This window comes from Homo sapiens, chromosome 20, assembly GCF_000001405.40.
Source record: "Homo sapiens chromosome 20, GRCh38.p14 Primary Assembly".
Classification (NCBI taxonomy): Eukaryota; Metazoa; Chordata; class Mammalia; order Primates; family Hominidae; genus Homo; species Homo sapiens.
Genome location: NC_000020.11, coordinates 14827401 through 14840384, shown reverse-complemented (window position 1 = coordinate 14840384; position 12984 = coordinate 14827401). Strand labels below are relative to the sequence as shown.

Here is a 12984-nt window from a genome sequence, read left to right as displayed (position 1 = left end):
CTTGATCAATTTACTCTTTCAGGAAGCCAGTTTAAGATGGAGATTCTGGCCAGGCGTGATGGCTCACGCTTGTAATCCCAGCACTTTGGGAGTCTGAGATGGACAGATCACTAGAGGCCAGGAGCTCAAGACCAGCCTGGCCAACATGGCGAAACCCCGTCTCTAGTAAAAATACAAAAATTAGCCAGCCATGGTGGCAGGCACCTGTAGTCCCAGCTACTTGGGAGGCTGAGGCAGGAGAATTGCTTGAACCTGGGAGGCAGAGGTTGCAGTGAGCGGAGATAGTACCACTGCACTCCAGCCTGGGCAACAAGAGTGAAACTCCATCTCAAAAAAGAAAAAAAAAAAAAAGACATGGAGACTCTAAAAGATGTTTTATATACTAGCTGCAAGTAGAAGGATGAGTAACAAACATCCCTGAGAACAAAGGAAGAGGGAAGAGACATTTTACCATTTTCATCACCCCTTTCCAATTTGAGAAAATGGAGAGCAAAAGGTGTCTGGTAGTTTAAAGATTCAGCAGTAGAATATTGAGAATTTCTGGTAAAACCTAATCTAAAATTTTAGAAAATTCCTGCTTATACCTATAATCGGAATTCAGCAGTGTTGGTGAAGTTGGGGAGGGGGCTCTCTTTTTCCTAATATCCAAAAATCAGTTCTCCTCTTCCAAATATAAGTTTTACCCAAATACTGGCCATCTGATCAATGTCCACCAGTATCATGTTAAATGGTCAATGCCTCCAAATCACTGTCAGTTCTGGGGACATACTCAGAGACAACTATAAGAGACTGGAGCAAAAATTACTTAGGAACCAATTTTAAGCCCCACCATGCCATGATAAACATTATTTTATGGGAAATGGGAAACCTCAAGTGACCCAGCCCATATAACTTGCATGTGTGTGTCAACTGGAGATGGGCCAACAGCCATTACAAAGATCATGTTTCTTTGTCTTACATGCTGGTATTCCAAAGGCAATGTAATTTAAGACAAAAGCTGCTTTTCCAATGTCCACAAAGTACTCAGCTTAAATCAAATTCTTTCATGCGATCTCTCATTCCATCAGACTTGTGTTTTAAAGTATTAAGAAGCTAAAAGGAGTTCAAAATCACAAAGGGAAATGCAAATCAATCTACAACAAATCAGCTAACAGGTGCCCTGGAAGAGAATTTTATTGCTACTGACATTAGCCACTTACTTATCACTGATGCTGTCTTCTTTATGGATAATATGCACTTCTCCCCCTCACAACTTGGAGTCACATGGAGGAAAACATAGCCCAAACGACCCCTACGCTGCTTCAACGATAAATGCCTTGAAATGACTAAACGTTCCCAAGGTCATTAGGCCAGGAGATGGGTTCTTCTGTTTCGAGATAGCTTTCTTCCTGACCCACAGCATATGGCTTCTATTACTGCCAGACCATGACCACAAAGACATTTCAAATCCCTGTGAAAAATGTGATTCTATGTCTCCTGCTCAGTTGTGTGTCATAAAGGACAGTTGAAGTTCTGGGGAGTGAAGGGGAGGTGGCAAAGGGTGGGAGTAGGGATTTAATCTACGCCATCCCTTTATATGATATGACTAAGTTTGTAATAGAAACCTTCTCACTTCTGGTTTCTCTCTTTTATCTTACAAACCACTTAATGCTCATAAGGGACAGTGAACACACTTCAGTGTATCATGTTTAAGCTCTCCAAAGATGTGAAACAGCTTTATCAAGGGTGACAGCTCTGCCATTCACTAATCTGCTTTTCAAAATTTATTTTTTTAAAAAGAGATAAAAGTAAATTTATGCTATTTAATCTGCATTAACACAGCAAACAATATTCTATCTGTGGTGATTAAGAAATGTTTATGAAGTTATTTTCAATTGATGTTTACTTGTAGGTATTACAGTTGCTGCAGAACATTAATAATGAGGACAAGAATTAGTCAACTAACACAAGATATTCCACAAGGCACCCTTAATCCACTCAGATTAGTCTGACTTTCAATATGAACATAATAATGTTCTGCCTTATTAAATTTCACAAATGACGTTTTCTCATTTTTTAATATAACATAAAATGTAGAACCATCGTCTGGTCTTGTAAAAGAATTTTATACTATTAATTACAAGTTTCTAGCATATTCTAATTTTATAGTAGCTGATTTGCAACATCTTTCTGGGCACTGAATTTAATGGTTCCTGACAAAAGAGATGGGCAAAATGATTACACACCCACATACACTTACACACAATAAACAAATGACTCAAACAAGATATTTGCCTTACAACAAATTCATATCAAGAAGAAAAAAAAGCTTTGAACAATTCTCCTTGTTTTACATATGTTAACTACTATTTTTGCCCAATAGTATGGACTTAACACTTTTTCAGTTTGTTCTTTTCATTTGTTTCCATGTGTTTGTTTTGTTTTGTTTTGTTTTGTTTTGTTTTTTGGCTGTGCCTGATAATAGTTGACATTTCCCTCAGGGGGAATGTGGAATGTATCATTGAAAAAAAAAAATCTAACCCCACCCTGTGGAGCCTTGCATGTATCCAGATAGAAATATTTTAGTATATGCAAAACACTAATCAAATTAAATTTCCTGGTTGGGCATGATATAGGTAAAGCCATTAGTATTTTGTTTCCTATGTAAAACATTAGAATTTGTCATAGTAAGGTAAATTTTGCTAGTTAGTTGGTAAAGATTGATCAAAATAATTATTTTGTTTAGTTGACTGGTCAATATCATTAAATATGGTCACTCTTATCTCAAGTAGCCTGTTGTAGTACCATCTCAGACACCTGATTTTGAGAATTATGAAGTCAGGAGATTTCAAGACACAGTTAGCTCAAAGGACAGACATTTACAAAGAAACGCAATTACTGGGAGGAAACACATTATTGAAGCTTTGTTACATATCCATTCATACTCCAATTGGTTAAATAATAGAACACTAAAATGTTGAGTTGTGTTTATTTTCAAGGATGCATTCAGATGTGATTATCCTCACTGGGAGCTCCTATGAACATCTAATTTTTCTCCATTACTGCAACAAGATTTTTTTTTAACAATTTCCTGCCTGTTAGACAACCAAAAATGTTCTAATGATAAGTTTGTCTTTGTAAAGATATTCACTCATAGCCCATTCTATGGTCTTTGGAAAGACAAAGTTCATGTCAGATGTTGATTTGTCTTTTTTTAGATATTTATTATTTTCTAGATATTTATTATGCATACATAATAAACACTTCCACTTTAGTCTTTAGGAATCAAAATTTTCTTGAGGAAAGAAACAGGCTCAAGAGTGAAGAGAGAAAACACTCATTATTTAAAATTCTTTAATTTACAGATCAATACATTATATCTTTCTAGTTAATTACAAGAGTTTTATTTCCTCTTATCATTTTGAAAAACTTTTATGAACTCTATAAGCACAGGTGCTTTCTATACAAACTACCTTCATTATTTCACCAAATAGTTCTTGGATCATCTAATATTTGTTATCAATTGGCATATGTTCAGATATGCTTTTGGAATCATAAAATTTTCAAATCCTGTGCATGTTTCTGCCAAACTGATTCATTCAGGTAAGTATTCTGTTTAACTGTCTATCATTGCCAAAAGTTAGCATATAGCTGTAAAAGTCTGATTTCCTATTAACAAGCCTCTATGGACCTCTTACCCATAAATTAATCCTCAAGATGGGAGCAAGGGGAAGGATTTATCTAGTCATTTCCATCTTCCAGAATTTGATTGACTAGTATAGGCAACCTATGGATAACATTCATAATTTTAGACATTTTAATTCTATCTCTTCAGTGTCTGTGCCATTTCAGATTGGAGGATTCCTACTTTAAAGACAGTCATCATATGCAGAGCCCTTCATTAACCTTGATTCTCTTTGGGGCTTCTGTGTGGACCCCTTTGCCTTTGCTTCTTTTGAAGTACAACCAGCAGGTCCATTCCCAGCATCCTTCCCTGAGTTTCTCTGAGGTTAGCTCCTCCTAGTGATGGATAAAACTGGAGCATTGGAATTTTAACGAATTTGTGCTACAGGACACCAGTCACTAAAGATGCTTCAATACAAACTATTCCCAGATCAAATGATTTTGGGAAACTCTGCATACATTAGTCTCTCTTGGGTATTACAGCGTAACAGCAAACTGAAAGCCTCCTCTGCAGTAGAAGTAAAATAACTTGCTTAACCCACTCTTTTCCAAAATTTTTTTTGAGTACGGACCCCTCACTTTTTGTGTGTGTTTATTAGTTTTATGGTGTTGTGGTTTTTTTTGTTTGTTTGATTGTTTTTGTCTAATACCTACAAATAATCTACTCTTTGGGGGAATTCTGTAACCATTTAAGGATTTAAACCTGTTTAGCAAAAATAGGAATCAAAAAGGACGTGGTAAAATCTTTCATTGCTGGGCAGGTTGTTATTTGACATAATGTTTTCTACTATGTCTGTAACCCACTTGCCCGACTTTTCCTAAATAAGCTACATGCGGAAGAGTGTAGCTAAGAAAATGGTACTTAGCCCTAATGGATACTAAGGCAATATGAGTGATGGGACCTAACACACTGTCTGGCATCTACTAAGAAATCTGTAATAAATATCAAAATGGAATTGAAATGGCCACAGTTTCTTAAGGTCCAGTTTCTAAGAGAATGGTGCAATGCCCTGTTCCAGAGCAATGGTAGTAGAAATTGCTCTGGTCCAGTATCTGAGCAAGTGGATTCAATGATACATTGACCTCAAGCAACTACAATTAGGTAGAGTCAGTCCCATAGGCACTGTGCTCCTGGGTCATCCCCTCTGTACTTGCCCTTAGCTTCACTCAGACTTTAAGAGCCTAGATTTCTAAGTCTTTTTCTCTAGTAGACCAAGGACTGAATGTCCCAACTTAATATCAATTTCCTAATGGCTGAGCCCAGGCAATGGCTAACAAACTTCCATGATGCCAACTTTCCTCTAAATAGGGTACTTCAGTTGCCTCTCTTAGACCTTACTGACTATCTGATATATTAAATAGAATCCTGGACTCCATATGAACCGATGTTAACTGATATTTCACATGTTCTTTCATTTCTAAATAGAACTCCTACTTCATATATGTCTTCATGTATCCTCTTTCCTTCATCCTCTGATTCCTGAACCTGTCCAGGGAGGTTGACTTTTCCCCCATGTGTCCAAGGTGCAAGTAATAAACAAAAAGTAACAATGGAGGAAAAAGCAGTGCCGGAAATGGCACAGTTTTGGAAAAAAAGGTTGTTATAGAGGACTTTACATGCACACATCAGCAAAAACTAAACTAAAAACATGTTCCATTCAGTTCTACTATACCACATAAAGGGGAGAGTCAGCTTTGATGAATCTATCTGTTTCTCAATCATTCACTCACTCAAACATATATACATATGTATGTATATATAGAGAGTCTATATATGTATAGTCTATATATAAATATACACACATATTATACATAGTCAATCTGTATAGACTATACATATACATATATACACACATATAAATATATATACACACATATTCTCATAGACATGCAACTAGTCAATGAAAAGAGAGGAATAATTTAAAACACACTTTGAATCACTACCTAATTTCTATTACCCTGATAACACTGAAATCTAACAATGGCTAATACAACTTGGAAGATAATAGAATAAAGTAATTTCAACCAGCAACTGTGGTGGTTCACAGGTAGATATATTGTAGTACCCATTGTAGATTTTACAAATTTAAAAATTCTCTAATATATTTTGAAGTATCTTCTTAAGATTTTAAAATGCATACATAAATATATAGAATGAAGCCTTAAATCTGTGATTGCCATCATACACTTAATGGGTCCCTTCGAATTTTAACTATTCATTTCCACTGAGTCTGCAGTGATTGGGACCCCTGATTTATACCACTACGGATCAATCTTTCACTATCATTGCAGTCATCAAATATATTTTACATGATTAAACTGATTCATGACAAGGCCCAATTAGCCCTCCCTACAGGCTATAAAAACAGTTTTCTGGGAAGCTGTTTAAACTAAACATTTTCTATCAATTTGCTTATATTTCTAGTGTTTCCTCTGAAGTTTGATTGTTAATCCTAAAAAAAAAAAACCATACTAGCGGCAAGGGTAAAGGTCACAAATTGGCATTTCTTCTTAAAATATATCCATTTAAATGCAAATTTTGGCCTTTATTCCTAACCTTTAAACAGTTATTTCATAGAAATGCAAAAAGCAAGAGTAAATTTTGTTTTCATATCTACATAGCAACACTCTAATATATTATGTAGTTTCATTTATCTATATAAACTCTACATTTTTACAGCTTGATGGGTATCTTTAGGGATAAGCAAGATTTTCTCAGAAAATTTAATTTTTTAAAATGTAAATATTCATAGAATAGTTTAAATCTAACTTTAAGAAAATAGAGCCTCATCATTTTTCACATTTTGAATCACTAGAGTTGCCACATTTTTTGTTATACTATTTTTATTCAGCTTATGCAATTTACTAAGCTATGGCATCATTAGTAACAAATAAGTTGAAATAGTCTTTATGGTGGTTGAAACCAATTCAAATACACTTCTATGAAAATAAAAAAGTAAGGCAGACAGCATTTTCCACTAGCATTTCAAAATGTAATAATTGAAAACACAGAAAATACTACATACTAATGAGGTGACCGTTTTGTCCTAGTACCTACATTAGAGTAAAATCGAAATAATTGAAGTTTTAAAAGAGAGGAAAAAAAGCTATTTAGAAAACATTAAAAGTTTCCAAGCATTAAATTAACTGAAAACTTCAGGATTATTACCAGAATTACGTTTCTTATGATGTGAACTTTGATACTTCAGAATCGTAAAAACAGATATGAATATACCAAACTGTCACTTTTTCAATGCCTCATAAGGTGGCATCACACGGGTACTTTGTGCCTCCTGTGTGTCCTCTCAGCCTGTGATTTCTTCTGCAGCTGTCAGGGACAGTTTTCTTGTATCAAGGCAGTGTCTCCTCTTAAGGACTTTGATTCTCTCAATTTTTTCTTCCTCAGGGATTTCTCCTAAGTCATGGCAGCTATCTTAGCCCCTTGCAGGGCAGGTTGGAAGTATGAGGGAGTTAACACCCACAGCCCCATAAGCCCCACGTATGGAATGAGAGTTAGTGATAAACGCCTGAACATCCAATCCTTTGGACCTGTGCAGTGCAATCCAGCAGTGACTAGCTATATATGGCTATTTACACTTACGTTAACTAAAATTAACTAATGCTAAAAATGTAATTCCTCAGTCACACTAGTCACATTTCAGATGCTAAACAGCTACATGTGGCTATGGCAGAAGACAGTGTGGACACACAATGTTTCCATCATTACAGAAAGTTCTATTGAACAGTGCTACTTAGATAGGCAGGTTTGAGGTTACATTTACTACATGGTTCTTCAGAGGGTTCCCAGCAGGACCAAAACTCAGTTGCCCACAGTGGTAACCCCCTAAACAGCACATCCTTCACTGGGTTTTCCCCTGTTCTTAGCTCACTCTCTACCTCACTTCTACTTCCCAGGCTAAGTCAAATAAACAAGTCAAGTAAACTGCTTGCACTCAAGATCTTGACTCAGGCTCTGCTCTGTGAGGGAACTGAAATTAAGAGAAGTAGCATCTCAACATTTTTTACAATGTTTAACTGAGATGCAAACAGGAAAAAGATAATTATAACAATTAAATTGTATGTATTTACAATCTCTTGGGGATGCATCCTGACTGTGTTGGATTCCCTTGAGACCAGTGGGGCACCCCAAAGAGGTAGAAGTCTAACTCCAGAAAGCCTTGAAAACAAATGTGGCTCTTTCTGAAGGTCCCTCTAGGAAGCAGCAGTGAGGGGGTTGCATCAGAACAGAAGATGTGGACCCAGCCTTCCTCAAACTGCCATTCCATACCTTAGCGCACCTGCTCTTCTCCCCTCCTCTGTACCTCCCTCCTTCCCATCCCTCTCATTCTTCAACCCCCCTTACTTGCAAAACACAATATTTTCACCTGACTGGTTGGCTTCTGACACTGTTCTGTTTCTTTCTCAGCCTGATCAATTCAGTGAAGATCAAGTAGTTAAAGAACTCGAGGCTAATACAGTGAAACCCCGTTTCAACTAAAAAAATACAAAAAATTAGCCGGCCATGGTGGCGGGCACCTGCAGTCCCAGCTACTCGGGAGGCTGAGGCAGGAGAATGGCGTGAACCCGGGAGGCAGAGCTTGCAGTGAGCCGAGATCGTGCCACTGCACTCCAGCCTGGGCCACAGAGCGAGACTCCCTCTCAAAAAAAAAAAAAAAAAAAAAAAAAACTCGCAAAGGCATGAAGTCGAGGTGCGGGAGGGTAGGGACTACATCTTCTCTGCTTCTTTTGGTTGCAACACTGGTCTCAAGGGGACCCAATATAGTCAGAATGCATCCCCAAGAACATAACAATCACCAAACGTGAAGCTTACACAACAGCAACAACAAACGAAAACGATGACAAACTCACAACAACTCGGCAGGACAACGTGTGCCAGATATCTTGTGTTGTTGCTTTTTTTTTTTTTTTTTTTTTTTTTTTGAGACGGAGTTTCACTCTTGTCACCCAGGCTGGAGTGCAGTGGCGCGATCTCAGCTCACTGCAACCTCCGCCTTCCCGGTTCAAGCGATTCTCCTGCCTCAGCCTCCTGAGTAGCCGGGATTACAAGCGCCCGCCACCACACCTGGCTATTGTTTGTATTTTTTAGTAAAGATGGGGTTTCGCCATGTTGGCCAGGCTGGTCTCAAACTCCCGACCTCAGGTGATCCACCCTCCTCGGCCTCCCAAAGTGCTGGGATTACAGGTCTGAGCCACAGCACCCGGCTGTTGTTGCTCTTTTTTTAATGGGAGGGATAAGGTAGGCAGGAGGATTGGGGAGTAACTGTCAAAAGGCAAATCTTACATGGATATTCCAAAAGGATATCTGCAAAGAATTATTTCCTAAACGTTTTTTTCCTATAAGTCTGTGATTATGCCTCTAAACAGTCACGTCGATAAAACTGAAAATATTCCCAAATGGCAAATGCATACGTTCATTCAGTCACTCACAAAAGGCAGTGCAGATATATGTGTGTCAGCCACTGCGCCACAGGTAGGAATCCAGAGTAATTAACTTATTCAACAAATATATATTAGACATATGTCATATATTAGGCCTTATGGTAGGTGGTGAGGTGACAGCAGTGGCCAGTTCCTCCCAGTGGTGAAACACAACACTTGGGGAAACCCAGGTGAGCAAAGTGAGGCTCGCAACACAGCAGCACAGGTAGGTATGCTCACAAACCACCATCCCGAGGGAAATGTGCAGAAACAGTAACCAACATTGAGATTTCACCGTGCATAAAGAGAAAACGATTTGAACTAGGTACAGGTAAAGCCAGTTAAGATTATTTTTTTAAATATATTTTAAGGATAAATTTAAGACTCATGAGGACATTTTCTAGCCAGCAAAGCACAGACAGGCTGGTATTGTGGGTCTGATTTAACAAAATAAATATTTGTGGCTGGTTCAATTATGGTAAATTATTGTTTCTCAAGTGCCTGAGTACAAACTGTGCTATCACGTAGGTGAAATAAGCCCTTCCCTTGGGGATCTGGCTCTGATATGCATCTGCCTAGTAATTCCCTGCCTATTAGTAACCGCACCCTTGTTTCAGTTCACTTTTAACTGAATTGTCACATTTTGAATATGGTTTCTCTCAATCTGCATGTTGGGTATTCAGTAAATCAATATCTAGATTACTTATTGATTTTTCTAGTGCTATGTGCACATCCAGATATTTCTTCCAGTTTGAGAAAATGAAATAGAAACAAAATTATGTTAACATACTCTTTCCAATAAGTAAAAAACAAACTCAGTATGATATTCAAATTTGGTGTTTGAATGTTTTTTGTAAGAATATGATTTTTTAAATCTCAATTTATAAACAAAAAGATGCCATCACTAAGAAACTTGCCAGTTTTACATAGCACAGAGCTTAATCACTATTATTATTATTTTTTAACAACTCTAAAAACCATTGCAGCAGTAAAGCACACAACATAACACAGCCCAATTACCACTCAGAGAGACTTGGCAATCACAGCATGGCCAATTCAAATTTCAGTGATGCCTCTTTAAACCTTAATGAACCGTAGTGCCCTAATGAGAGGTTTCACTGAATTCTGGTCAACCAAGCATACATTTTACACAGCAAAGAGGAAACTAGAAACCCATTGCATCTTAAGTAGTAATATTTGCATCAACAATGGTTATGAATCATTTTTTCTTTGGATAAAGAAACCAAATAGCCACAGCTCTTTGAGATTCATATTTAGGGGTGATGGCTTAATTCAACATGAAACTCATATTACATCATGCAATATTCTGCATCAATTTATCATAATAAATTATCAATGTATGCATTGAACTTCTAGGGAAATAATAGTTGTAGAGTTTTATACAATAAAAAGCACATTTTGAAATGTTTAACAAAGAACCAAAGATATTTTGTCTGTAGACAATTAATGCTGATACTAAATAAAATAATTGATTCAATGAAACAAAAATATATTCTGTTAATCAAAAAATAATGTTGGTCACAAATTGCATTCAAAGGCCACATATTTTCATTTCCTTACTAGTCATTTTGGCATGTGTGGACACAGTGATGGATAAAATATGTCCAGAGAGAAAAGGTCAGACTATGGAGGCACTAATATTCGCATTCTAAATATGGTACTGCTCCAATGTCCCCTCATTTTTGCTTATGACTCTTAAAAATCATCATTAGACAACTGCCGCTAGAACTTCAGCTGGCTCAGGTGAAAAAATGAGTAGTGTTGAGCTGCCTGAATACACTGCCTGGAAGATGAAACCCTATCCTGGAGATGTGCAACTCTTCTGAATTGGAGACCATATTTTCCTTTAAAAAATAGTTCTCCCAGCACTTTGGGAGGCCGAGGCGGGTGGATCACGAGGTCAGGAGATTGAGACCATCCTGGCTAAAATGGTGAAACCCCGTCTCTGCTAAAAATACAAAAAAATTAGCCGGGCGTGGTGGCAGGCACCTGTAGTCCCAGCTACTTGGGAGGCTGAGGCAGGAGAATGGCATGAACCCGGGAGGCGAAGATTGCAGTGAGGGGAGGTTGTGCCACTGTACTCCAGCCTGGGCGACAGAGTGAGACTCTGTCTCAAAAAAAAAAAAAAAAAAATAGTTCTGCAACACACTGTGGGGCGGGGGAGCAGGGAGCGGTGGGAGGGAGAGCATCAGGAAAAGCAGCTAATGCACGCTGGGCTTAACACCTAGGTGATAGCTTGATAGGCACAGCAAACTACCATGGCACACGTTTACCTTTGTAACATTAAATAGAAAAAAAAAAAAAAGAAGGAAAAAATAGTTCTGGACCATCACATGTTAATTGTAGTTGTGGGCAAAAAGGGGAAGAGAAGTGGAAAAGAGAACTTGTCCATTTTTTTGGTCCAACAATAAAACAGAATAAAATTATCTGACTTAAGATGTGCCAAAACATACATAGCATTCCTCAGTAAAAATGCAATGGTTAATAGTTATTAGCATGATGTAACACAGTATATATTAAACTCATTACACCTGCCCCTTTCAAGTGTCAAATGTCACCTCTTCAGGGAAGCTTTTCCTGACTCTCCATCCTAGATCAGGTTCAATGACGTAACATTCCTTCACAGCACAAGTTCCATTAGAAAGGCATTTGTACAATTATTTATTTCAGATTAGTCTCCACCCATTGCATGGTACATTCCAGGTAAGCAGCAGGATTATCTGTCTCCTACCACTGCTGTCTCTTGGGTCTTGCAGAGTGCCTAATGCATAGTAAGCACTCAAATGGCTTTGAATGACTGAATTAAGAAAAGAATGTCCATACTGTCCCAGTTAACCCTAAAAGTGAAGTGAGAATCAGGGAACTTCTTACATAGGTGTTATTCTGGATGGTATTTTGGTAACACATCTGAATATTTAGCATGCATAACCTTTTGCCTCTTTCATAGAAGTTGTATATACAGGAATGGTCAAAGAAACGTTTTTCATCCTCAAAATAGCTCAGAACCAACTTCCAATAGCAAGTAATTAATGAAACAAATTCTGCTATATACTTAGAATGCATGAACTAGTTGCAAAACAATATATATAAAGCAAACATAGGAAAATTGTATACATATACAGAAGAAAATGAATATAAAAAATTCTGAAAGAATATCAACTATTAGCAGGGCTTACCTTTAATTGGTATATATCATCTTTATTTTCTTTATTATGCCTTCCCGAACTTTACCAATGAATGCACATTAATTTCATAATCAAAAAATAAAAATTTTAAAAGAAGGAAAACAAAAGATGGTGTGATCATAATATGAATAGAGTGTAGTGTTTCATGAATGTAATTTTTTCTACTTCATATGAGACTATTAGATATTAGATAGTATGTAAAAAATTAAATGGTTATATATTTTGAATTCTTATTAATAAATGTCAAATGTTTATTAAAATGTTAGTCAATAATTAGGCTTGTAAAATTAAATATCTAACCTCCAATACTCTGAATAATGAAGGCTAATAGTTTCCAAGAGGAAACACAGCAAAGAGTATGTTCCAACAACTTTTTTTTTTTTTCTGGCAAGGAGAATATGGGTACACAAAAATAAAACACAGTTACTAATTAGTTACATTATCTGTGAAGTCTATCAGGGTGCAAAACCTAGATCAAAAGAAAATTTCAAACTTCTTTTATATAACTGGGGTCAATGGCATGAGCTTCAGTTTATGATTTTTGATTAAGTGACTAAAGTAATGCTTAAATCTCAGAAAGGACATAATATCTACCTAGGAGTTATTGTGAAATAAAACCACGTACCATGTAAACAAAGCATCCATGCCATATGTGGAATATACTTTTCACTCAAGC

At 37.0% G+C, this 12984-nt stretch overlaps 1 protein-coding gene across 3 annotated transcripts in view, besides 2 other annotated features; it reads right to left on the bottom strand.

Moving 5' to 3' along the window:
• The window catches only part of MACROD2 (mono-ADP ribosylhydrolase 2), a 2057682-nt gene that overhangs the window by 1212813 nt on the left and 831885 nt on the right, over positions 1-12984 (bottom strand). The gene's annotated exons all lie outside the window — the stretch shown is intronic.
• Positions 7515-7564: an enhancer, noted in NCBI's record as "active region_17553". NCBI's record gives its function as "activates an Ori minimal core promoter by ATAC-STARR-seq in GM12878 lymphoblastoid cells {active_cell/tissue: GM12878}" and the evidence as "EXISTENCE:reporter gene assay evidence [ECO:0000049][PMID:35858748]".
• Positions 9577-9626: a silencer, noted in NCBI's record as "silent region_12681". NCBI's record gives its function as "represses an Ori minimal core promoter by ATAC-STARR-seq in GM12878 lymphoblastoid cells {active_cell/tissue: GM12878}" and the evidence as "EXISTENCE:reporter gene assay evidence [ECO:0000049][PMID:35858748]".